This window comes from Homo sapiens, chromosome 11 (assembly GCF_000001405.40).
Source record: "Homo sapiens chromosome 11, GRCh38.p14 Primary Assembly".
Classification (NCBI taxonomy): Eukaryota; Metazoa; Chordata; class Mammalia; order Primates; family Hominidae; genus Homo; species Homo sapiens.
In genome coordinates, this window is record NC_000011.10 from 117,215,981 (window position 1) to 117,239,580 (window position 23,600).

Sequence of the window (23,600 nt, forward strand, 5' to 3'; positions counted from 1 at the left end):
AGGAGGCATGCACCACCACACCTGGCTAATTTTATTTTTTGTAGAAATAGGGTCTCACTATGTTGTTCAGGCTGGTCTTGAACTCATGAGCGTAAACAATGCTCCTGCCTCAGCTTCCCAAAGGGATTACAGGTGTGAGCCACCATGCCCGGCCAACTGGTCATGTTTTAAATGTTCAATAGACTCAGATGACTAGTGACCACTGAACTGAGCAGCATGGACATGGAACAGTTCCATCATTGCAGAAAATTCTTTGGGACAATGCTACTCTAGAGTCTTAGAGGTATTTAGCCTCCTCTTCTATCTCAGGGATGTTCAGCTCCCTCTGCTTTATAAAAAGTTCACTTTCCAGCCCCCAGACACTGAATCAACCAGGTCCTGGTGGAAAACAACCATAACTTGGCTGTAGAAGGGGTTTCTTGACTTCCTGGGACTGAGCTGCTCAACTCTCAATTTTTTTTTTTTTTTTTTTTTTTGAGATGGAGTTTCCCTCTTCTTGCCCAGGCTGGAGTGCAATGGTGCGATCTCAGCTCACTGCAACCTCTGCCTCCCGGGTTCTCCTGCCTCAGCCTCCCAAGTAGCTGGGACTACAGGCATGAGCCACCACACCCAGCTAATTTTGTATTTTTAGTGGAGATGGGGTATCACCATGTTGGTCAGGTTGGTCTCAAACTCCTGACCTCAGGTTATCTGCCTCCCAAAGTTCCCAAAGTGCTGGGATTACAGGCATGAGCCAGGGCACCTGGCTCAACTCTCATTTTAACTGGACTTATTTCTTTCAACCTCCAAGCAAGCCCACAAACTTATTTGTTCTGTTTTTGTCTGCTCAGAGGAAAATGTGGTCATGTTGGAGGAGAAGGCAACTTCACTGGCTCTGAAAAGCCAATGAAAATAGTACTTTGCAAAAAGTTGTGAATAACTCTGCATGTCAAAATTACTCAAGGCAAAAAAACAAAAACAAAAATGAAACAAAACAAAAAATCCCCCAAGGAGCTGGGGGTAGGGAAAACTCTGGTAAAACTTTTGCTTGCTGCCCTTCCAACAGGTAAAGGGCTCCATTAGCCAAACTCCCTAAATCTTTCCCTCCCTTCTCTTAATCCTGCTTTCTCCACTAGGCCACCTCCCACTCTTCTCCACCCAGGCAATCTGTCCTTCTTTCTCTTACTTTTTAGTGACAAGCAAGCAGTTGCCAGATGCCTCAATGCCTAGGGTAGACATTCCGTGGCAACGTCCCCTGGTCAGCAGGAAGCAGAGGATGACGAAGCTGGGAAGACCATATTACTCTTTTAAGTCACTGCCCTCATTTGACAGATGCAACAGGAAATAGCCCTGGATAGAAGGTAAAGTTGAAGGCACACTATCTCTAAGACACGCAAGTGCAAAGCCAGGGGCTTCCAAATGAACTGCATTCCTGGAAATGTTTCTGAACTTCTCTGACTTGGCTGACGCTTTATGCCCTTTCCAAGATAACATTCCTTTTATGGGAAATGCAGTGACTGGCCCAGGGGTTTCATTCCACATTGAGGGAAATTGGGCAAGTGCTGGATGTGGTTAGGAGGAGAAAACTCAATTCTTCTCTGTGAAACCTTCACCTGAGGGAAGCCACCCCTCATCCTCCCTTCTGAGTAACCTTCTCTGGCCATTCCTTCTCCTGCCATGGCTCTCAATTGATCACTTTCTAGGAGGACAGAAAAAGTGAAGACAGTTTTGGTTTGGGCACTAAGCATAGCATACTTCCTTTGCAAAAAGTAGTAAATGACTCCAGGAAAAAGAATCCCCCAAGGAGCTGGGGGTAGGGAAAACGCTGGTAAATGTGCAGACAGGGCATCCTCTGCACAAGCATCCTGATCCAGCTGCACTCTCCTCTAGGGAGGGCGTCCGCCTCTTCGCTCAACATAAAACCAGGTCGCTGGCTTAGAGGATACAACCCCTTCAGACAATCCTGGTTCATGCTGGCCACCATGGAGGCGGAGGCAGAGGATGGGTCACTAAAGCCTAGGAGACTTCTACAAACCCTCTGTCCATCCCCAGCAGACCACATCTGACTCTCTCTATTAGGTAAGCCAGAGAATCAAAGGAAGAAATGCCTAACTCCTTTACTTCATCCAGACACCCGAGGACTGACCAGAGTTCTCTGGCAAGATCTTAGCATGGAAGTCACAGGAGCTTCTCTGAGCTCTCACCCCGGTCTCGCCTGACCTCCCCAAGCCCCAGTCCCATGCCTCCCACCCGCCCTCCTCCTCAGTTGCTCTGCTGCTCCTTTTCACTACTAGGAACCCAGGAGAAAGGTCTTGTTTAAGCAGCTGGGGGAGCCAACTCAGAAGCAGTAACATGTCCTAAAATGGTCAAAGAAAACTCCACAGGTTTGGCTGGAGCTCAGCTCCGAAAGGGGGTAGAATCTGGCAGGGAGGACGAGTTTAACTTCCTTGTCACCCGGCCCCAAACCTCAGGCCTAAGATTAACCCCCTTTGTGCTGATTACTTACCATTCCACAGGACCTCCAGGGAACGGGGGGACTGCGGAATCGCCTTGTTTTCTTTTAACACGGGACTGACGTAGGATGCTAAGTAAGGGACAGATGTCCAGATCTATGAAAGGAAAGGAGGGGATGGCAAATCAACAAACAAGAATGATCACACCCACATTCTCACAAACACACACGCCCTTGTCAATACGATCTTGAAGGTTTAGCTGTCTTTATTTTTCCACTCCTCATCATCTTCCTTCAGCCCTCAGCTCCTGCTTGCTCGCTGGAATGCTCCGTACAGCCCCCAGCTAAGGAACCAGAGGAAACAGCTGTGTCCAGGGTGGAGGAGGGGAACCAGAGCATCCTGAGTCCCACACATACTCAGGTCCCATTTACTCTATTAGTAGTTTGGAAACTTCAGTGATAGCATTGAGCCTGCTTTCTCATTTGTAAAATGGATATCAGCTGGGATGAAGGTTGAAGTTGTTAAATCAATGAACTGAATGAACATTTACTAGGCACCTATGATATCCCAGGCAGTTTGGGGCATTCAGCTCCGACCCTTGGTCACTCCACACAGGGCACCCTGCCCTGCCAACACCTGTTCACCTTGGCTGCATTCACGAGCCTCCAGGCGTTGAGGAGGCCGAAACCGTGCTGGTGGCTATGGCTGAAGCCTGCCTCGTTGGTGACCCACTCTGCACGGCGATCCTCATACTGAAAGGACAGAGGTCCTGGTTAGTCTCTTGCATTGCCAGTGTAGTCTCAACAATCTGACTCTGGTTTCCCTGCTTGCCCTGCTGGCTGATCCAGTCCACGCTCTCCCACTATGGCTACTGGGAATGGATTCCCCAAGGCAAGCTGGGACAAAAGGTCAAAGCCCATGATGTCACCACCCCACTGGCTTGCTTCTAGAGAAGGGGCCAGGAGGCACAGCCAGAGCTCCCCTTTGCAGATAAAATGAGTTTAGGCCTGTGGTCTTTGTGGGGTCCCCACACCTGTTCTTTACATATGCAACTCTGAAAGGGACTCTGAAAGAGACTTAGTATCTAACATTTGGGACATTGAGAATCTAAGGCCACCTGATACCCGAACTCTGGAGCAGGCTGGGCCAGGCCACTTGTCTACCTGCTGGTATCTCACCCGGGTGGCTGTGAAGACAATGATGTGCTGGACGTCACGCCACGTGAGGCAGGGCCGCACCTGCAGCATTAAGGCTATCATGCCAGCTGCCAGAGGCGCTGCAGCTGAGGTCCCTGTGTGGCCCTCAGTGCAGCCAGTGCCCTTCTGAAGGTCCCAGTCAGTGGTCACCTGGAAGTGAAACAGGAAAAGGAAGTAGGTTAGAGACTGAGTTCAAGCTGGGGACAGTGGTGTGCACCTATAGTCCCGGCTACCTGGGAGGCCCAGGCAGGAGGATTGCTTGAGCACAGGAGTTATGACTGTGCCACTGCACTCCAGCCTAGGTGGCTGAGTGAGAACCCATCTTTAAAAAATAAAAAAAGAATATTTTTTAAAAAAGAAGCTAGAGACTGAGTTCAAAGTTGTTATGGGGGAAAGGTACAGGGCTGGTCCTCAGAACAGGTCTCACAGGTGGACCCTTCCTTTGTTAGAGCTGAATCTTTGACCAGAGAAGGACCCAATAGCAGGGCAGGGCAAAGGAAACCCTAACCCTCCTGGCCTCCTAACAGAATATCTGGAGAACAGAGACAAAGATAATAAAAGTTACTTTTGAGGGTGTGGTTGTTGGCAAAAGGAGGCAGAGATAGGAAAGGGCTCCCATCCAGTGCAGATAAGGGTTTCCCAACTCTTTTCTTTTTTCTTATTTTTCCTTGTCGCCTAGGCTGGAGTGCAGTGGTAAGATCATAGCTCACCACAGCCTCGAACTCCTGGGTTCCAGCGATCCTCCTGCTTCAGCTTCCCATGTAGCTGGGACTACAGGCGTGTACCACTGCACCACACTAATATTCTTATTTTTTGTAGAGACAGCATCTCACTATGTTGCCCAGGCTGGTCTCGAACTCTTGGCCTCAAGCAATCTTCCTGCCTTGGCCTCCCAAAGTGTCGGGATTAACAGGCATGAGCCACCATGGGGGGGCCTCCCGATTTTTGCTCCTAATATTCTTGCTCCCATTCCTAAATTCTCTATCCCAACTCCCAACTCCAAACCCTTCAACCCCCACAACCAAGCTAGACAGAGGAAGTGGCCAGGGGAGCTACTGGGCCCAGCTGGAGCTGGGACAACACTGACGGCACTATTCAAGGAAATCCAATTTGGCAGCTCCGCGACAGGGGCTGGAATGATGTCGGCGTGAACACAGGGAGTGTGTTCCAGCAAGAGAGGACTGTGTCCTTGCCCACCCCCGAGCCCTGCATGGACTCAGTGTCTATAAGGCCCGCCTGCCCGGCTCTACAGCTCTCAACAGGACAAGCTGCCTCACTGCTCTGGGCCAGATGCCATGAAACCCCTTCTCTCTGTGTGGTTCTGAGGTGGGGAGCGAGAATGGGGCAAGGGGAGGCAGTGACTGCCTGGCATCGAGCTCTTTTGGGGCTGTCATCACCCCTGGAGACTCAGAGGGTTTAGCTGAGGCGGGCCCTGCCTAAATCTGCTCCACTCTATGGCACTTGGATCGTTGGCCCATGGTGTCAGTGCTAACACCGGAGAATTTCTTTCTTCCAAACTTCTCTTCTGGGTCAGATACCAGGGTGGCGACTTCTGCCAAGAGCTGCCCTTTCTCCACTGTACTCACTGCTTCCCTCCCAGCTGTTAGAGCAGCTGCCAAGAGATGTAATTTTCACCCAGCCATGGCGCACTCCCAGAAAAAAAAGGGAAAAGCACTCTCCAAGTGGTTGTCTCAATGAGAGTGGGAGCCTGGTTTATGCAAGGGAGCGGGTTGATTTTTTTTCCTGTTAAGGAAACAGCCTTGCAGTGATAGTCTGAAGTGTGGCTGTGAAGCCCACGAACTTGTCTATGGTGGCAGGAGCCACAGGCAGGCATTGAAAAGTCCAGAGAAGCTTTGCTTCCCCAGGGAGCCAAATGGTGGGAAGCATATGCCCCCAGCCTCTGCCCTCAGAAAGACAGCTCTACCCAGCTGCCCTGGTCATTGACTAGAAACTGGCAACAAGAAGTTTCCATAGCAAGGACATTCCAAAGATGGGAACTCTGCTAAACACACTCTCTCTTCATTTCTGGGCAAATTACAGTTCAGATGGAAGAGGGTGGTGAGGGTGAGAAGCTGAGGTGAGTTAAAATGAGAAAGGCCAGGTACAGCAGAGCAAGAGTGACAATTATGTTGTAGAACCTTCTTAGGTCCCTGGCCTGGGCAGGGCGAGCTGGGTTCCCTAGAGTTCTGCTAGAGGGTGGAGTTTGGTATGTTCCTGTTCTTCCTCCTAACCCAGCCTGGCCTGCAGTGGGTGCCCTCTGTGCACACAGCCCAGCCTCTCTTCCCTCTCTACTTTAGTCCACTCCCTTTTCTCTTCTCCCTGGGGCTGGGAGGAGGGGGTAGTAGGGGTCAACTGGCACAGAGCCTTGGAACATTGTGTTGACCAGAAGTCATTTATTGGCATAACAAAATTTTAGTTTTGGAAAATAAATTTGACCCAGCAGGAAGACAAAGCAGCCTAATTCCCAATGGCCCCAGAGAGATCTCCCGACTCAGCCACTGGAGAAATTTGATACCACCTGGCTCCAGCCCAGCTCCTGCCTAGAGCCTCCTATGCCCACACTATATGGTTGCGGGCAACAGGGACAGGCAGGGAGCTCTAGGAAGATGGTCTAGAGGCCTGCCTTAAACCTGCTGGGATGGCGCTAAGCCCAGCTGGGTGTAGGCGATCGTCTTCAAATTCTTTAAATGGGTTCCACAGGTTAGAGAAGCTCCATGACCCTGCTCGAATTTCATTTGCTATGGCTCCAATTATAGCTCCAGAGAAAGAGCTCTCTCTGGTGTTGACATGAGACATTCCCCCACTCCTCTTCCCACTCATCCCATAAAAACGACAACCAGACTAGCTTTCCTCCTGAAGATGCACATGACCAGAACTCACAGTATTTACCTAAGAGCTGAAGGGCAATGGAATTAGGAGTTTTTTTTAAGTCCACAGAAATTAGCAAAAGCCCAAATTTTACCAAAGGAAGACACTGCAAAGAAGTTGTTTGTGCATTTCCTTGAGTGTGAAAAAGTTGTTTAATCCATGTGACACTTAGTTTCTTTTTTTTTTTTGAGAAGGAGTCTTGTTCTGTCACCCAGGCTGGAGTACAGTGGTGCAATCTTGGCTCACTGTAACCTCCGCCTCCTTGTTTCAAGCGATTCTCCTGCCTCAGCCTCCCAAGTAGCTGGGATTACAGATGCCCGCCACCACACCAGGCTAATTTTTGTATTTTTAGTAGAGACAGGGTTTCACCATGTTGGCCAGGCTGGTCTTGAACTCCTGACCTCAAGTGATCCATCCGCCTTGGCCTCCCAAAGTGCTGGGATTACAGGAGTGAGCCACCATGTTTGGCCCCATGTGACACTTAGTTTCTAAAAATATGTATATTCGTCCTAAATCCAAATTTCTAAGATAAAAGCATTCCCAAGATGTATTCAGAGTCCCCGAGTCTACTACTCCAAGGGTGGCATGCCTTAAGACATCCAGCTCTGTGGGGGAAGAGGAGCCTGAGTGTTGGGGCGGGGAAGCAGGGAACAGTGAGAAGCGCTGTGATGTCTGAGACGTGAAGTCTTGTGGGAAAGGGGCAGGCCGTGGAGGGCCCGGGAGGCACTCACAATGCTCCGAAGCATCTTGTCCCCACCACTGAAGGTGACTGCCAGCATGGAGGCACATTCTTCTGCATAGAAAGGCATGCGTCCCTCCTCATCCACAGCTCCTAGGGACAGAGGAGGGAGATTAGAGCTGAGATGCAGAGGGGGTCCTGTGGCAGGGGCTTGCTAATGTCAGTTATCTTGGAGTTACCATCCTGGGGGGCTGTCCTGAGTTTGAAACATGATCTGAGCGGCCCACGTCCCTCAGAGCAGTCCTGATCCTCTTCTGAACAGGCAGTCTCAAGTGGCAGAGGGCATTCTGTGCCGCAATACCATTCTTTCAGTAGGCTCTGGGGTACAACTGGCAGCCTTCTACCTTCATACCCACTTATTCATTCACATGCTTACTGTTTTCAACATTCATTACCCATCTACTGTGGGTCACACCCGTGCCAGGCATCAGGGCCATATGGAAAAGGCCGCAGTCCTAGTCTCGAGGAGCCTAGAGTCAGGTAGAAGTCAGGTAAGTAAATAAACACATGCTAACTGGGAGCACAGGCAAAGGGCACTTAATTTAGGCCTGTGGGGAGTCAGGGGAGGCTTCCAGCAGGCAGAAGGTGGCCCACAGAAAGACAGGCCAGAGCAGAGGCCTAACCAGCTGTGGTGGGGTGGAGGCAGCTCGGTGATCTCCAGATGATGGCTTGAAGGTGTTCCCAGGGTATGCTGACATCTAAGAAGTCCCAAGGTCCTCTGCAAGCAGGGCTAGTCCTATCTGAGCCCAAAGAGATTATTGTGCTCACACATTTAGACACACACAGAAGCTAGGACAAGACGTGTGATGCCCTAACCCTTCGGTGACACACACACAGGAGCACAGAAACATTGGGTGACTACCTATGGTGACGGTGTAGATGGAGTTGGCGTAGCCATCGTAGTTGCAGTTGTCGTTGTGTTGGCCTCCGTTGCCACTGGCTACCACAAAGATGCTCCCAAAGCCCTGGCGACCAGCAATCACCCCATGTTGTAAGGCAGCCTGAGGAGCCAAAACATCAGGGTGTCAGTTGAGGAACCCACAGAAAGACCTCCGCCTACCACATCAGTCACCCTCTCCACCCCTTCTAGAAACAAAGGGAAAAAAGTTCAAAGGGCACTGGGCATGGGGGAAAGATTGGAAGATGGACCCCGCATGTGAGGGAGCTGTGAGTTGACCCAGGATGTGGGGCAGCTGTGAGTTGAATGATGACTGATGGACACCCTCTGCTTATCAGAGGACAGGGTGGGGCCAGGCATGGGAGCTGAGGATAAGATGAAAGGGAAACAATCTCAAAGCACTGTTCCATTTCCCTCTCTAGGAACAAACGTCCCCTAGGCTTCCTGCCCCGACGTTAGGTGTTCTCTTCCTGAAAGGAGACTGAGCGTGGAGGTGGAGTGGGAAGATGGGTCAACTTGCAGCAGTTCTCCCGGGACTGTATGAAGAGGGCATCCCGTTTCTCAGAGTCTTTGTGCAGGCCAGTTACCTTTCCAAGCTGATGGGGGCCATCCACTGTCTTCCCATCGTCATCTGGTCCCCAGCTGTTGAGAAATAAATACCTAGAGGGGACAGCCAGAGCCAGGCTGCGGCTACCCACCCAGCGCCTCCCAGTCTCAGCTGGCTGCCCTTTGACCTGCAGCTCTTAACTCCTCCCAAGGGTTCCACTTAAAGGCTTCCGTGATTAAAAGGCACAGGGTTCAAAGGTCCATCCCCTCTCCAAAGTGGAAAACAGAAGTGTGCTAAGGCTCTTCTTTTCCTTGTGAATGTCCCCATAGCCCATAGTGGCAGAGAGGGACAGAGGTCACTCATCTCCTGATCTAGGGATCAGAGACATGTAGACCTTTTTTTTTTTTTTTTTTTCTCCTGAAACGGCGTCTTCCTCTGTTGCCCAGGCTGAAGTGCAATGGCGCGATTTTGGCTCACTGCCACCTCCACCTCCCAGGTTCAAGCGATTCTCCTGCCTCAGCCTCTGGAGTAGCTGGGATTACAGGTGCCCACCACCAAGCCTGGCTAATTTTTGTATTTTTAGTAGAGATGGGGTTTCACCATGTTGGTCAGGCAGGTCTTGAACTCCTGACCTCAAGCAATCCACATGCCTCAGCCTCCCAAAGTGCTGGGATTACAGGCGTGAGCCACCGCACCTGGCCCAACTCGTAGGGTAGAAGGCAGAGCGCCCATGAACTTCTGTGGAAGCTCTTGGTTCTCAGGTTGAGGAGTTCTCTATTCTGTCTCTATCGGGAAGTGTACCCTGTGGATGATGTCATGGATTTAAGGGAGGTATGTCGGGGGAGGAACAGGTGCCATCAATGCCATGTGGGCCCCCAACCCCATTTCCTTCTTGTCCAGTCCAGCACAGCCATGCCCTGAAGGTGCAGTGCATTGGCGTGGGGTGGGGGATTGGTGTTGGGCATTCAGCTGGCCTGTGGATGGAGAAGAAAGCCCGCTTTCTTGCAGAGGCCTTAGGAGTTTAGAAAACAAATAAATGTGCACAGGCCAGGGCTTCTCATGTGGCAATCTGATTACGGGGGTGACGGGGGCTTAAGGTTGAGTGCCCAGTGGCTGGGAATCTAGAGAAATGAAGGCAATGGACTTATTAGCTGAACCCAATGAGGAGACCCCTGCTCCGGCCTAAGTCAGCCCACTGGTTGGGATTTTGTTGGCGGATTTGTCCCAGGTGCTCCAGGCTCTTGCCCTCTCATCTGCAGCTCTGCCTCACCTGCAGCTGTAGATGTCATTGATCTGATAGTGCTTGTTGAACGCCACTGCCTCCATGCTGTCTGTGAGAGGTCCATCCAGTACCCGGATACCTAGGCAATGAAGGCCACAGCAGCTCCTCACTAATGCTGGTCTCCTAGCCGGGGAACTGGGAGGTGGGGAGCCATATGTGGGAGACTTATTTTTCCCTACATGCTCTTTGTACATTTTGCTTTTTTTTTTTTTTGAGATAAAGTCTTACTTGTCACCCAGACTGGAGTGCAGTGGCATGATCTCGGCTCACTGCAGCCTCCACCTCCTGGGTTCAAGCGATTGTCTTGCCTCAGCCTCGAAGTAGCTGGGACTACAGGCGCATGCCACCACACCCGGCTAATTTTTGTATTTTTAGTAGAGATGGGGTTTCACCATATTGGTCAGGCTGGTCTCGAACTCCTGACCTCAAGTGATCTGCCTGCCTTGGCCTCCCAAAGTGCTGGGATTACAGGTGTGATCCCCATAGCCCCCACGCCCAGCCCATTTTGCATTTTTACACCATGTATACGTATTACTTGTCCCCCCACCAAAAAAATATATATATAGAGAGAGACAAAGTCTGGCTCTGTCGCCCAGGCTGCAGTGCTGTGGCACTTTCAGAGAAGGGACTTGGACAGGGTTTCTGGCTCCTCCGGTCTCATTTATGGAGAGCTACTGCCCTCTGCTGGAGTATAAGAGGAATAGTCTGTTCAGTCTGTAGGTTCCCAAGCACATAAGGAGTTATGGTGAGGGCTTCCCCATTCATTCCCTTCACCTTTTGCCTTGATGGACAGACGTTGAGTGTGAAAGAACCACAGAACCACCTCCAGGGAGGAATAGGGCTGCTCAGCTCCCCCAAAAGGATGGAGAGCAGCCCGTGACCATCAGTGGGACTGGGAGCTGGGGAGCTGGGGAGCTGGGAAATGCAAAGGCTGCCACCATAGACGTATCGGATCATAGAGGAAAAACCGACAAGAAGGCACTTTGTAATTTATGGAACTATAAATAGAAAAACATGTTTGAAACACCACTGCACTGAAAAATCAATGAGCTGATATGTCCTACAGACACCTATTATAAACTCACCCTTGCTCTATGCTATGTGTGTCAGCTGGGCTATGGGATAAAGATGTTTCAGAGTAGGGAGGGGTGCAGGAAATGAAGACTGTGGTCACAGGAGCAGCCTACCAAGGCTAGGCTGGAGGCACAAGTTACCTGCGATGCGGCTCCCGTAGGCCACGCCCACGGCACAGAAGCTGTTGTTGGGCACAGCCGCGATCTCTCCTGCACATCGCGTGCCATGGTGGTTGCCATTCTCCACATCCGGGTGGGGCATGGGGTCAGGGTCATTAGAGTTGAGGTCATAGCTACCCTCAGGGCTCTGAAATATTTTGGAGGTGACATGTGGTCATTCACTGGTTAGAGGGGATCAGGTCCTGGGGTTCAGGGACAGAAAGGAAATGGGAGTTTGGGAATCGAAGCTAGGGCGATAAGCTCATTTCTCATCGTTTCTGTTTTTGAGATGGAGTCTCACTCTGTTGCCCAGGCTGGAGTGCAGTGCCACAATCTCAGCTCACTGCAACAACTGCCTCCCAGGTTCAAGCGATTCTTCTGCCTCAGCCTCCCGAGTGGCTGGGACTATAGGTGAGCGCCACCACACTTGGCTAATTTTTGTATTTTTAGTAGAGACGGGGTTTCACCATCTTGGCCAGGCTGGTCTCAAACTCCTGACCTCCTGATCCGCCCGCCTTGGCTTCCCAAAGTGCTGGGATTACAGGCGTGAGCCACCGCGCCCGGACCCAATAAGCCCATTTCTATCTGCAAACCACACTGGCTAAAAGATATGAGCAAAGGACACTGGGGCAAAACTGAGAAGTGCCACAGCTCCCAGCAAACTTCTCTTGCCCATTATGCGAATGTGCCTACAGCTCCACGGCTTGGGAAACCTGGAAAAAAGGCAGGTAGGGCTCCCTAGAGGCCACGCTTTAGAGAGAGGAAGGCACTCGGATTTCCAACAAGAGGGAAGTTGCCTGCAGGGGCCACTCCTTACTCCTCAGAAAAGGACTAGAACTGAGAGCAGGATTGTTCTTAGAGTTAGAGCCACCTGCTGTGCCTTGACTGGCTAGCTAGGGAAAAGAAGAGGATGAACCCCATCCCACCTCCCAGGCTCTTTTATTTGGCCCAAAGACCTCTAGAAAAGGGGACAAGACTGAGGCAACATCAAGAAGGAGGTAAGACGTGGGGAGTGAGGGGTGTCGTTCCAGGGCCACTCACATAGTTGGGTGCAATGTCCTGGATGGTGTGTTCCACTCCGTCATCCACTACCACCACCGTCACCCCTCGCCCAGTCACATTGCGTTCCCACACACCCGTCACGTTGATGTCCCTGCCCGGGCTCCGTCGGTTATTCTGTAAGAGAGACAGGATGGGAATACAGTGACACATAGCACAGCCCAGAGGGAGATGAAGTTATAGCTAGCAGCCCCTTTTCACCCTTGGCCTCCACCAAAGAGCCAGACAGATTGCAGACCAATAGGTCAGGTGGGAACAGAGTCAAGGAGGAGCAGGTGAGAGCTCTGCCACAGCCTTGGATTCTAGGAAAGTTTGTCATCAGTCATGGGGGATTCGGGATAAAATGGTAGCTAGGGTGAAGGGTTGGATGATACACTTCTTTTTTTTTTTTTTTTTTTGAGACGGAGTCTTGCTCTGTCACCCAGGCTGGAGTGTGGAGTGCAGTGGCAGGATCTCGGCTCACTGCAAGCTCCGCCTCCCGGATTCACGCCATTCTCCTGCCTCAGGCTTCCGAGTAGCTGCGACTACAGGCGCCTGCCACCACGCCTGGCTAATTTTTTGTATTTTTAGTAGAGACAGGGTTTCACTGTGTTAGCCAGGATGGTCTTGATCTCCTGACCTCGTGATCTGCCCATCTCGGCCTCCCAAAGTGCTGGGATTACAGGCGTGAGCCACCGCACCGGGCCAGATGATACACCTCTTATGCCAATGGTAGTATCGTATCACTTATGTCATAGTGTTTACCATGTGTCAGGCATGGTTCTAAGTGCTACACATGTATACATTCACTTACCCTAACCATAACTCTATGAGGTAGGCACTATTACAATCTCCACTTTACAGATGGAGAAGCTGAGGCACAGAGTTTAAGCAGCTTGCCCAAATGCACATGCTAGTAAGTGGCAGAGCTGGACCATGAGCCCAGGCAGCCTGGCTGCACCATCTGTGCCCTGAGCACTGTAGAACACCGGCCTCTAGAAGACAGTAGAAGGGAGGGAGAGCCTAGGGAAACACCACAGAACCGGGAAATGGTCCCTCAGGCAAAGGATGGAGGTGACTGAAGAGTGATATAGTCAAAAGCCCATTAAAGAACTGGACTGGAACCTACCCACCTGAAACTGCAAACTGCAGGACTGGACTCACCAGGTGCCATTGCTGCGGGTACTTGGGGTCGTTGAAGTGGACGCTGCGCTTGGCCCGCCTTAGCAGCCTCTGCTCTGAGTGCCAGCGCACAGCTTCATGCCCAGCCAACACAGCCTCCACCTGCTGCCGGATGGCCTCCACCTCCAGGGCCGGCCTGTGCCCAGCAGGCTGGACAAAGAGGTAGTGCCCCTGAAGCTCTCCGATGCGTCCAGCATTCACCAGCCCTGCTGCCTGGGCCAAGGCATCCGCCTGCTGCTCCAGAGTCTCTTCCTCCCCGTCACCTTCCAGGCTTTCCAGGTGCACAGCCCAGCTCGGCCCCCCTGTGCCCTGGCCATCAGGCCCACCTGTCCCTGCCAGGCCCATGACCCAGGGAACCAGTAAGAAGAGCCCGGCTAATTCCAGCCAGAGGCAGGTGGGCAGGCCCAGGGGGGCATCCAAGTGTGGCACTTTCTGCCTCCCCTTCGGCATCAGAGCAGTGGACTGCAGACAAAGAAAAAGGATATGGAAGAGATCAAAGAGCTGGTAACTGCAGGAATCTGAGAGGGAGATGCTGAGCCATCCATGTGTTCCCCCTGGAAGTCCCTAAGCCATGCCTTTTAAATTGTGAAACATTTGATCTTCTCTTTTTGTTCACATTTATCCCTGACCAACAGGGATAAGCCCCCAGGTGGAGTGTGGGCCAGCACTAACACCAGCGGATGGCCTCCCACAGCAAGACAGCCAATCCTCACGACACCAGCTAATCCAGCAGGAGGTCCAGTTGCTCACAGGCACTGCGAGCAACCCCTGTTGCCACCCACAGGGCTCAAAGCACACATCGCTTCCACAAACTACTGGCTGCATCGTGACTGTTCTTTAGCAGAGACAACCCCTTCACCCCTACATTTAGAGGGGACATAAATCTTTCCCTAGCTGACTCCTCAGTCCAGTTGTCCTCAAGGCTAATTCCCCATAACAGGGCCCCGTGCCCACCTGGATTCTACATGAGGTTGAGCTCCTGGTCTGGCTAACCACGTCACACTCATGTTGTGCAAATGGAGAAAAGGCATCACTTTCACTGTGAGTAGTGTTGACTCAGCAAAGGCTACAGACCTGTGGGATCCAAGAACAGAAGAAATAATGTCCCACCAATCCCAGGGCAACAAGCTGAGGTTAGATAAACTCCAGGACCAGGGACCAAAGAAACTTCATTAATTGTCATTTCCAAAGATCTAAAATCGGTCATAGACTGGAGCAGAACTGGTACGGTGAGGCCAAATCAGTATAACACCCAAAAAACCCACTTCCTGTGCTATCGTGCCACCCTCTTTTCATTTTGTTCCCCAGAGGCCTAGCAAAAAACAGTTACCAAAATGCCTCTTGAAAGAGTAGGTAATAACGTCCTAGAAGTCCAGGTGGTAGCTAACTTCTTGATTTGTATATCCCAGAAGGATACCAGGGAAAGTGAAAGGAGGGAGGCGGCGGGGGCGAAACGGGGAAAGCCAGAGAGTGCAAACAAAACAGAACAGGCACCAAGGACAAGCGGGCAACCAGGAGAGAACGAATGATGAGAGAACCTCACTAAGCAGCTACTCCTGTACTGAGCTCAGGAGGCTGGCTTCAAGGTGAGGACTCAGACTCCAGACTGGGACTCCAATTGCCTGGGTTTGACAGAACCAGGGAATTGGTCTCAGGAGCCCTCAAAAAAAAAAAAAAAGAGCCAAGTTAGAACTGGGGGACAGACAAATGGGGTGGCAGGACATGTGTGTACCTATGGTGGCTGGGCTCCTTTAAAAGCCTTTGCTCTCCACTGGGTCCACCCTGGGGCAGGGCTTAGTACTCAGATACACACCCAAGCGGCTCTACCTCAAAGCATTCCAGAAAAATGGGAATTTTACTGAAAGGCTTCCTGGAAAGGAGAACTTATGCCACCTCTCCTTTACCTCTAAAAATCTTCATACTACATTTCTTCCTCTCGTTTTCTCTTAGGTTTCCAGGCATATTCCCTCTCAATCCCTCCCTGCCCCCGGGAGCCTCAATTCTCCCAAGATATTTAGGTGTCTTCCCCAGTCTGCATACTCTACTAAGTAAACAAACTAACAAACAAAACCCTTGTTAGCCAGACAGTGGCCCCGCTAGGCAGACTCCTTCAGACTCAGTAGATCCCACCACAGATGTCAGGAAGAAAGAGAAGCAGGAGCTCCTTCTGTCTACTAGTGGCAAAGCAGCATTTTTATCCCCCAGGCTTCTGGGAAAGGAACCTTAAATGCCTTCTGAAAGCAGGTCTCAACCTCTCCCAACGGCTAGGCCTCCCTTTACAGCTCTTAATTGACAAGGAAGAAGAGAATGGGCAGCCTGGAGTCCAAGATCCTGCTCCCAAGCTACTGTCCTCGCTGTTCCACACCCGGCTCCTAGAAGCCAGCTTGGGTACCGGGTCAGTTTCCCGATTCTCCCTCCGTCGGCCTCGATCGCTCCGTGCAATGTGCCCCTCTCCTCATTAGCACCCACATTATCCAGGAATTCTGGGCCCTGGGGCCCCATCTCCTTGGTCCCCCACGCCAGGACCTCAGGCACCCTCTGTGCAGCTCCCTCATCCTCAGACGCCGGCTTCCCCCACTTCTGGGGCCCCCTGACCACCCAGGTCCAGCCCCACACCTAGTTCCCAACTCACCGGCCCCGCCGCAGCTGCCGCCGCCTCCCTGCGGAAACTCGCGGCTTCCCGGGAGCCGGAGGAGCAGTGACAGCAGCATCACTTCCGCCCGCGGCGCAGCCAATCAGCGCGGCGCCTGCGGCCCGGCGACCCCCGCGGGCCACAGCAACCGGCGCCCGGGGTCCGGCTCCCGCGGGCGGCCTACGCAGGCAGGGGCCGTGCGGGCGCTGGGGGCTGAACCCGCGGGCTCCGCCTCCCCGAGTCCTCGGGGCATCTTCCACATGGTCCCTCTTCAGAAGGCTCTCCTTCATGGCGTCCTCTGTAAAGGGCATTTCGGTTCCGACCTTTAAAAGCCACTCGTTGCTCTTCTCCTTCTGACCGCCATGGCCCCGACTGTCCCTGTAATCTTCCCAGAGGGGATCCTGCCCACCCAGGTCGCCTTCCTTCTCGCAGTCGGCTCTCCCTTCTTCCCCGCGCCCCGGGAGAGTCCACTTGTATCTCAGGGGTCTCCCGCAGCATCCCCGTGCCCCGGCGGCGCCAGCTGTCGCCGCCAGAGGGCGCCGTCGGGGGCGGCGCGGCGCCACCGCGGCCTCTCCTCTCGCGGCCGGAGCCTCGCCCCCTCCGCTCGTGCCGCCGGAAGTGGGAGGTGCCGCGCGCGGGCCGGCGCTCGACCCCTCCCCCCGTGGCTCGGCCGCCCCCTCCCCCCGCTCCGCCCGCTCAGGTGCGTCCCGTCCCTCCCCCACTTTCCTCCCGGGGGCGCGGCGCGGGAGGTGTGTGCGGGGCGAGCGTGGGTGGGGGTTGCGGGGCGAGGGCCGGGCATGGGGGTCGGGTGGGGGGCGTGGAGGGTGCTGTGAGAACCGAGGCGGGGGTCCCGGCCTAGAAGTGGGACGGGGGGGTGGCTGGCAGCGGGGTGGGGGGACCGAGGGGAAGGGGTGGAGGGGGGTCTGGTCCGAGCCAGCGGCCAGCCTAGCAGTCCCCTGTGGGGGGTGGCCAAGGCCACCCAGCGCCGCTTCCCCCCATTGTCCCCTTCCCGTCTGTCCCCTGTTCTCGCCCGAGGACCCGTGGCTCCGGCGCCCCTGCTTCGCTGGTGGTCGCCCCGGGTTGCGGAGTTCTTTTTGGTACACTCGACCCTCCAGCCAGCTGTTCCTACCCGCGCCACGGGCTCTCTAGCCACGGAGTTGCATGCATGGCCCTTGTCCTGGGGTTTCGTTCACCGGGCGCAGAGGACCCCCCAGCCCTGGGCTATGTTGGAGACGGGATGTTTGCACCTGAGGGAGCAGCAATGGCGGTTTGGGCCCATTTTCTCCCAGGAGCTTTGTATAATGAGGGAAACTGAGGCACAGAGGGTCTGTGGGCTGTGACTGAGGTGTTGACACAGCCCCATCTACCTATCTGCCCTATGCGCTCTTCAGTGTTCCGGGGGGGAATACGTGTGATGCTGTTAAAATAAAAGCAAGAATGCAAACTAACCCGATGTTCATCCCCACCTCCCAAGTATTTTGATTTTCTTTTCTCCTCATAAGGTCATAAGTTTGCTCTGCGGCATAAAAGATGACCTTTTGATTTTTAAAAAAGGCGTCCGTCCCAGTTCCCTTACTTGTGTTACCATGTTTTTTACCTTGACTTTTTCACGCTAGAGAACCCAGGATTCTTTTTTGCACCACTAGTCACTCTGAAGAGTCTGTTCTTTGCTCAGTTAGTGGGTATCAGGCCTTTCCCATCTGTGGGGAGCACGCTGACAGTAAAATATGCACCCTGGATTGCCCAGTATTGCATTACTTGTTGACTTACAGGCAGACACCTCCAAAAACTTCCCTTAAATTAATGGAGAATGCTTTGAATGTAACAGCCATAAAGTGATTTAAAAACATGAGATCTGATTGATACTAGGCCGAAAAGTACGTCTTTTATTAAAAATGATAGCAGACAAGGTAGGCCTGGGACCACTTGGAAGATCCTGGCAGACTAAGATGTATTGTTTGAAATGACTACATTTCTGCCAAAAGTGAAAATAAGATCTTTGCACAGACTCCTAGATATTTATGTAAATACAGTGACTCCTGAGGATTGCTGCCCACTAGGACACTAGGACTTTGCATACAATGTCTCTTTTAGTACTCTTAAGTATTTTCTCCCGGAGCCCAGGTTTTTGTGTTTCTTTACTGCGACAGCTCTGTTGTGTGGACATTCTGAGGGGGGAGAGATACATTTGTTTTAAACTTTGGAAACTTGTAGCCTGTAATTTGTTTCTGAATGTACAGAGCATAATGGCAGCGTCTGAGGTTGCTGGTGTTGTGGCCAATGCCCCCAGTCCTCCGGAATCTTCTAGTTTATGTGCTTCCAAATCAGACGAAGGTCTCCCAGATGGTCTAAGGTAATGTGTGGACTCCTGACTGGGAAGATTCATTTGGGTAAAGGGTTTTTGAGATGGTCTTGTGTAGCTGGTCTTTCTTTTTGGCTCTGATGGCACTGCACTAGCTTTTTAAAGGTACAGGACTGTCTGATCTATCTTTGTATTTCTGGTATCCAACACAGCACCTGATACTCAGCAGGCATGCTAAATGTTTGGGGAATAAATAGAATAGAATACATGGGGTCAAACTCATTAAAAAATGCAAACATTTTCCAGCCCTTTCCTACGTGGACTGTATGTTCATTTAACCATATGTTTATATGTTATATATGAGAAATGTTATATCAGTATGTGTACATGGATATCTAAATATGTATACATACAGATACACAATTACCCAAACTTATATCTCATAGTAGCTAATATGATACATTGTTATGTACAGTGTTGAACTAAATTAGCTATATAGTCATCCCACAGTATATGCTGGAGATTGGTTCCAGGACCCCTACTGAGGATACCAAAATCTATAAATGCTCAAGTCCCTTACATAAAATGGTGTAGTATTTTATCTGGGATAGGCATATGCCCACCCTACTTAAAGCTATTAAAAAGATAAAAAATAAATAAAGTGGTGTAGTATTTGCATATAACCTATGCATGTCCTCCCATATACTTTAAACAATAGGTTATTTACAACAACTAATACAATGTAAATGTTATGTAAATAGTTGTGTTGTTTAAGGAATAATGACAGGTAAAAAAGTTTGTACATGTTCAGTACAGATGCAACCATCCAATTTTTTTCTGAAAATTTTTTTAATGGTTTCAAATCTATTTCACTTTTCTTTTTTTGAGATGGAGTCTCACTCTGTTGGCCCAGGCTGGAGTGCAGTGGCGCGATCTCGGCTCACTGCAAGCTCTGCCTCCCGGGTTTATGCCGTTCTCCTGCCTCAGCCTCCCCAGTAGCTGGGACTACAGGCGCCCGCCACTACGCCCGGCTAATTTTTTGTATTTTTAGTAGAAACGGGGTTTCACTGTGTTAGCCAGGATGGTCTCGATCTCCTGACCTCGTGATCCGCCTGCCTCGGCCTCCCAAAGTGCTGGGATTACAGGCGTGAGTCACCACGCCCAGCCTTTTTTTTTTTTTTTTTTTTTGAGATGGAGTCTCGCTCTGTCGCCCAGACTGGAGTGCAATGGCGTGAACCCAGCTCACTGCAACCTCCGTCTCCTGGGTTCAAACGTCTCCTGGATTCCCTTACCTCAGCCTCCCAAGTAGCTAGGATTACAGCCGCCCAGCACCACGCCTGGCTAATTTTTGTATTTGAGTAGAAACGGGGTTTTGCCACGTTGGCCAGACTGGGTATTTTACTTTTCAGTGATTTATTTTTATATTTTAAAAAATGGACACGATAATTGTACGTATTCATGGGGGTACATAGTGATGTTGTGGTGTATGTGATGTATAGTGATCAGATCAGGGTAATTAGCATGTCCATCATCACAAACGTTTATCCTTTTGAATATTTTCAGTCCATGGTTGGTTGAGTCCATGAATGTGGACCACATTCTACATAAAGAGGCTGACTGTGTATTCTTCCTCAACTCTGTTTTTTTTTTGAGAGAGACTCTTGCCCTGTCCCCCAGACTGGAGTGCAGTGGTGCGATCTTGGCTCACTGCGACCTCTGCCTCCCGGGTTCAAGTGATTCTCCTGCCTCAGCCTCCCTAGTAGCTGGGATTATAGGCACCTGCTTGGTAGCCCGGCTAATTTTTGTATTTTTAGTGGAGACCGGGTTTCACCATGTTGACCAGACTGGTCTTGAACTCCTGACCTCAAGTGATCTGTCCGTCTTGGCCTCCCAAAGTGCTGGAATTACAGGGATGAGCCACTGCACCTAGCTCCGTCAATTTTTTTGTTTTTTTTTTGTTCTTGAGATGGCATCTTGCTCCGTCACCCAGGCTGGAGTGCAGTGGCGCGATTTCCGCTCACTGCAACCTCTGCCTCCCGAGTTCAAGCGATTCTCCTGCCTAAGCCTCCTGAGTAGCTGGGACAACAGGCGCCCGCCACCACACCCGGCTAATTTTTTGTATTTTAGTAGAGGCAGAGTTTCACCATGTTGTCCAGGATGGTCTCGATCTTCCGACCTTGTGATCCGCCCGCCTCAGCCTCCCAAAGTGTTGGGATTACAGGCATGAGCCACCGCACCTGGCCGTCCCTCAACTCTTTTCCAGTGTACCTGGGTCCCCTAATACAGTAGCTAACACTTAACTACAGTTCCATACGTGGTAACACATTTAATCTTCACAACAGTCCCAGGAGGTAGTGATAATATTATTCGCATTTACCGGTGAGGAAACTGAGACACAGAGAGGTTAGTAATTTGCCCAAGGTTTCCAAGCTATGTTGGAGTCAGAGTTTTGATAAATAAAATCAACTTCATACACTAGTAATAATGGCAGCTAAGGTTTATTGAATGTTTACTATGTGCCAGGCACTGTACTGAGTACTTTATGTGCATTATCTCATGTAATCCTCACAACAGTCTTGTTAGGTGGATAGTATTATTTCTGTTTTACAAATGAGGTAACTTGCCGAGAGTCAAACAGCTTGTAAATGGTGGGCGGAGTCAGGATTCAAACTCAGGTACTGTATATGCCTGAATTTTTAATTAAGCACCCGCTCACAGTTAACTCCCAGCAGGAAGGAATCAGCTTCGAGTGTTTTTATTAATATTATTGAGACAGGGTCTCCATCTGTCATCCAGGCTGGAGTACAGTGGTGCGATCATGGCCTACTGCAGCCTCCACCTCCTGGGCTTAAGCAGTCCTCTCACTTCAGCCTCCCAAGTAACTGAAGCTACAGGTGCACGCCACTACACTTGGCTAATTTTTAAATTTTTATGTAGAGAGAGGGTCTTGCTATGTTTCCCAGGCTAGTCTTGAACTCCTGACCTCAAATGATCCTCCTGCCTTGACCTCCCAAAGTGTTGGGATTACAGGCATGAGCCATTGCTCCCCAGCGAGATATTCTTTCAGTTGTTTTATTTTGAACTAGTACGACTGAGGAAACAAAGACGCATCAACTTGAATCCCCATTGCTAGTTGGGTATGGTTAAGAGTGTCAGTTATAGAATTAGTTTAAAAAAAGAGGGTGGGGTCAAAGAAATTAAACATAGGCGTAATTCCTGGGTGAAAGATGTGCAATTGTGAATGTTGGATGTCATTGTAAATATGTTTTAAAGTCCCCTTTAAAAAGCAGTACCTCACTTCAGCCTGGGTGACAAAGTGAAACCCTGTCTCAAAAAATAAATAAATAAATAAAAAATAAAAGCAATACCTTGAATGGCTGTGACAAGTGACAGAATATCCTAATGTTAAGCATATGTATACTTACTGTGTGGGATAAAATTTCTATTGACAGCTTCAATTTTGGATTCAAAATTGTACTTTAGACAACTTAAAGTGTAGGTTCTATACTCTGGAAAACTGTTGAAGAACCTAAAAAGTGGTTCTGGTCAAAGATCTGTATAATGAGTTTGAATGAAAATTATTCCTGTGAAAGGTGAGAGAGGAATAAAAACAATACTTCTAAGTTAATATTTGATTATAATATTATGTATAACTAAATTAATACATGTAACTAAATTAAATATTCTAACTAGTATTAGGCTAATTCATCGGTATCCCCAAAAGTTATTAAAATTGGCACTCAAAAATTATTTGGATCTTCAGAATCATTTATGTTTGGCCATTTACTGTAGAACCCAGGTTTTTGGCCAGCTCACGCCTATAATTCCAACACTTTGGGAGGCTGAGGCAGGCAGATGGATCCCTTGAGTACAGGAGTTCGAGACCAGCCTGGGCAACATGGCAAAACCGTGCAAAAAATACAAAAAATTAGCTGGGCGTAGTGGCATGTGCCTGTAGTCCTAGTTACTCACAAGTCTGAGGTGGAGGATTGCTTGAGCCAAGGATGTTGAGACTGTAGTGAGCCTTGATGGCGGCACTGCACTCTAGCTTGGGTGACAGAGTTTAGAACCTCTCTAAAAACAAAACCAAAAACAAAAAACTAGGTCTTAACCACCAGGCTATACTACCTGCATACAGGATAGAAATCATTGGATTGAAACTAAGTTCTTTCATTATGATAGTCGGGAGGGTTTACGTAGTCTAGTTTTGTTCTTCTAGTAGTTAGGTTGAAAGTATTATATACTTTTCTTTTTATCTTGTGTGTTTGATAGCACCAAAGACTCTGCACAGAAGCAGAAGAACTCGCCTCTGTTGAGTGTAAGTAGCCAAACAATAACCAAGGAGAATAACAGAAATGTCCATTTGGAGCACTCAGAGCAGAATCCTGGTTCATCAGCAGGTGACACCTCAGCAGCGCACCAGGTGGTTTTAGGAGAAAACTTGATAGCCACAGCCCTTTGTCTTTCTGGCAGTGGGTCTCAGTCTGATTTGAAGGATGTGGCCAGCACAGCAGGAGAGGAGGGGGACACAAGCCTTCGGGAGAGCCTCCATCCAGTCACTCGGTCTCTTAAGGCAGGGTGCCATACTAAGCAGCTTGCCTCCAGGAATTGCTCTGAAGAGAAATCCCCACAAACCTCCATCCTAAAGGAAGGTAACAGGGACACAAGCTTGGATTTCCGACCTGTAGTGTCTCCAGCAAATGGGGTTGAAGGAGTCCGAGTGGATCAGGATGATGATCAAGATAGCTCTTCCCTGAAGCTTTCTCAGAACATTGCTGTACAGGTCAAGTGTCAAGTTTCTACTACTAAAATGTAATTGGGGGGTGGTGGGGTTCAGGGTGGGAGATATTTCTTCATATTTGGTGGAGAACTTGCTGGCTTGTTTTGTTTTTTGTTTTTTTTGCTAGCAACCATCATACTACTCTCATACAGTGCCATACAATGACTTCATTCTGATGTTCAGTAAATAAGAAAGCCAGTAGCCATTGTCTAATCTTATGGCAAGTAGGAACTTTATGACCTACGTGTAGTCTCTTTCACTGAGTAACTGATGAGTGCAGGACATTAGCATTCATATTTATCATCTTTGACCTTGCAGGAAGAATCCTTGTTAATTCTCTGAGTCACATCTTAAGAAGTACAGTGTATCCTGCCTTCTAGTGACGGGTGTGCTTTGTTGTAGGAGAAAGTATGGGCACAACAGACTGTAGAGGGCAGACGTCTCATCTCAGACTTGAGGCTTTCTCTCAGTC

General features: G+C 50.2%; 2 protein-coding genes across 12 annotated transcripts in view, besides 8 other annotated features; one reads left to right on the forward strand and one right to left on the reverse strand.

The window, feature by feature from the left end:
- PCSK7 (proprotein convertase subtilisin/kexin type 7) overlaps positions 1–16,093 on the reverse strand; it is a 27,737-nt gene extending 11,644 nt beyond the window's left edge. For 7 of the 9 annotated variants that reach the window (NM_004716.4, XM_047427866.1, XM_047427864.1 and 4 more), the window contains exons 1-12: positions 16,047–16,093; positions 14,369–14,488; positions 13,397–13,876; positions 12,236–12,370; positions 11,177–11,342; positions 9,951–10,041; positions 8,721–8,775; positions 8,098–8,236; positions 7,228–7,328; positions 3,611–3,778; positions 3,077–3,184; positions 2,486–2,588 (exon numbers count right to left, since the gene is read on the reverse strand). In NM_004716.4, the coding sequence (NP_004707.2) occupies positions 2,486–2,588; positions 3,077–3,184; positions 3,611–3,778; positions 7,228–7,328; positions 8,098–8,236; positions 8,721–8,775; positions 9,951–10,041; positions 11,177–11,342; positions 12,236–12,370; positions 13,397–13,864 (1,534 nt within the window). In that variant the 5' untranslated portion in view covers positions 13,865–13,876; positions 14,369–14,488; positions 16,047–16,093. Of the gene's footprint in view, positions 1–1,165; positions 1,265–2,485; positions 2,589–3,076; positions 3,185–3,610; positions 3,779–7,227; positions 7,329–7,414; positions 7,767–8,097; positions 8,237–8,720; positions 8,776–9,950; positions 10,042–11,176; positions 11,343–12,235; positions 12,371–13,396; positions 13,877–14,368; positions 14,489–16,046 lie in introns of those variants that run through there. The other 2 variants (XR_947871.4, XM_006718940.5) reach the window with 2 other exon arrangements.
- Positions 1,528–2,727: an enhancer, noted in NCBI's record as "BRD4-independent group 4 enhancer chr11:117088224-117089423 (GRCh37/hg19 assembly coordinates)". NCBI's record gives its function as "activates an origin of replication core promoter dependent on BRD2, P300/CBP, MED14 and CDK7 cofactors, and independent of BRD4, by STARR-seq in HCT116 cells {active_cell/tissue: HCT116}" and the evidence as "EXISTENCE:reporter gene assay evidence [ECO:0000049][PMID:35650434]".
- Positions 3,182–3,682: an enhancer, noted in NCBI's record as "H3K4me1 hESC enhancer chr11:117089878-117090378 (GRCh37/hg19 assembly coordinates)". NCBI's record gives its function as "activates a minimal SCP1, AML or CMV promoter by ChIP-STARR-seq in primed H9 embryonic stem cells {active_cell/tissue: H9 hESC(primed)}" and the evidence as "EXISTENCE:reporter gene assay evidence [ECO:0000049][PMID:30033119]".
- Positions 14,782–15,021: an enhancer, noted in NCBI's record as "active region_5569". NCBI's record gives its function as "activates an Ori minimal core promoter by ATAC-STARR-seq in GM12878 lymphoblastoid cells {active_cell/tissue: GM12878}" and the evidence as "EXISTENCE:reporter gene assay evidence [ECO:0000049][PMID:35858748]".
- Positions 15,891–15,940: an enhancer, noted in NCBI's record as "active region_5570". NCBI's record gives its function as "activates an Ori minimal core promoter by ATAC-STARR-seq in GM12878 lymphoblastoid cells {active_cell/tissue: GM12878}" and the evidence as "EXISTENCE:reporter gene assay evidence [ECO:0000049][PMID:35858748]".
- Positions 16,131–16,280: a silencer, noted in NCBI's record as "silent region_3934". NCBI's record gives its function as "represses an Ori minimal core promoter by ATAC-STARR-seq in GM12878 lymphoblastoid cells {active_cell/tissue: GM12878}" and the evidence as "EXISTENCE:reporter gene assay evidence [ECO:0000049][PMID:35858748]".
- Positions 16,491–16,830: a silencer, noted in NCBI's record as "silent region_3935". NCBI's record gives its function as "represses an Ori minimal core promoter by ATAC-STARR-seq in GM12878 lymphoblastoid cells {active_cell/tissue: GM12878}" and the evidence as "EXISTENCE:reporter gene assay evidence [ECO:0000049][PMID:35858748]".
- Positions 16,691–23,600, forward strand: part of RNF214 (ring finger protein 214) — a 53,784-nt gene continuing 46,874 nt past the window's right edge. Inside the window, exons 1-3 of one of the 3 annotated variants that reach the window (NM_207343.4) lie at positions 16,691–16,746; positions 18,287–18,399; positions 22,621–23,131. In NM_207343.4, the coding sequence (NP_997226.2) occupies positions 18,293–18,399; positions 22,621–23,131 (618 nt within the window). In that variant the 5' untranslated portion in view covers positions 16,691–16,746; positions 18,287–18,292. The other 2 variants (NM_001077239.2, NM_001278249.2) reach the window with 2 other exon arrangements.
- Positions 19,815–20,316: an enhancer, noted in NCBI's record as "H3K4me1 hESC enhancer chr11:117106511-117107012 (GRCh37/hg19 assembly coordinates)". NCBI's record gives its function as "activates a minimal SCP1, AML or CMV promoter by ChIP-STARR-seq in primed H9 embryonic stem cells {active_cell/tissue: H9 hESC(primed)}" and the evidence as "EXISTENCE:reporter gene assay evidence [ECO:0000049][PMID:30033119]".
- Positions 22,633–22,927: a silencer, noted in NCBI's record as "tiled region #1788; HepG2 Repressive non-DNase unmatched - State 15:Elon, and K562 Repressive non-DNase unmatched - State 15:Elon". NCBI's record gives its function as "represses a minimal TATA promoter and a strong SV40 promoter by Sharpr-MPRA in HepG2 and K562 cells {active_cell/tissue: HepG2 | K562}" and the evidence as "EXISTENCE:reporter gene assay evidence [ECO:0000049][PMID:27701403]".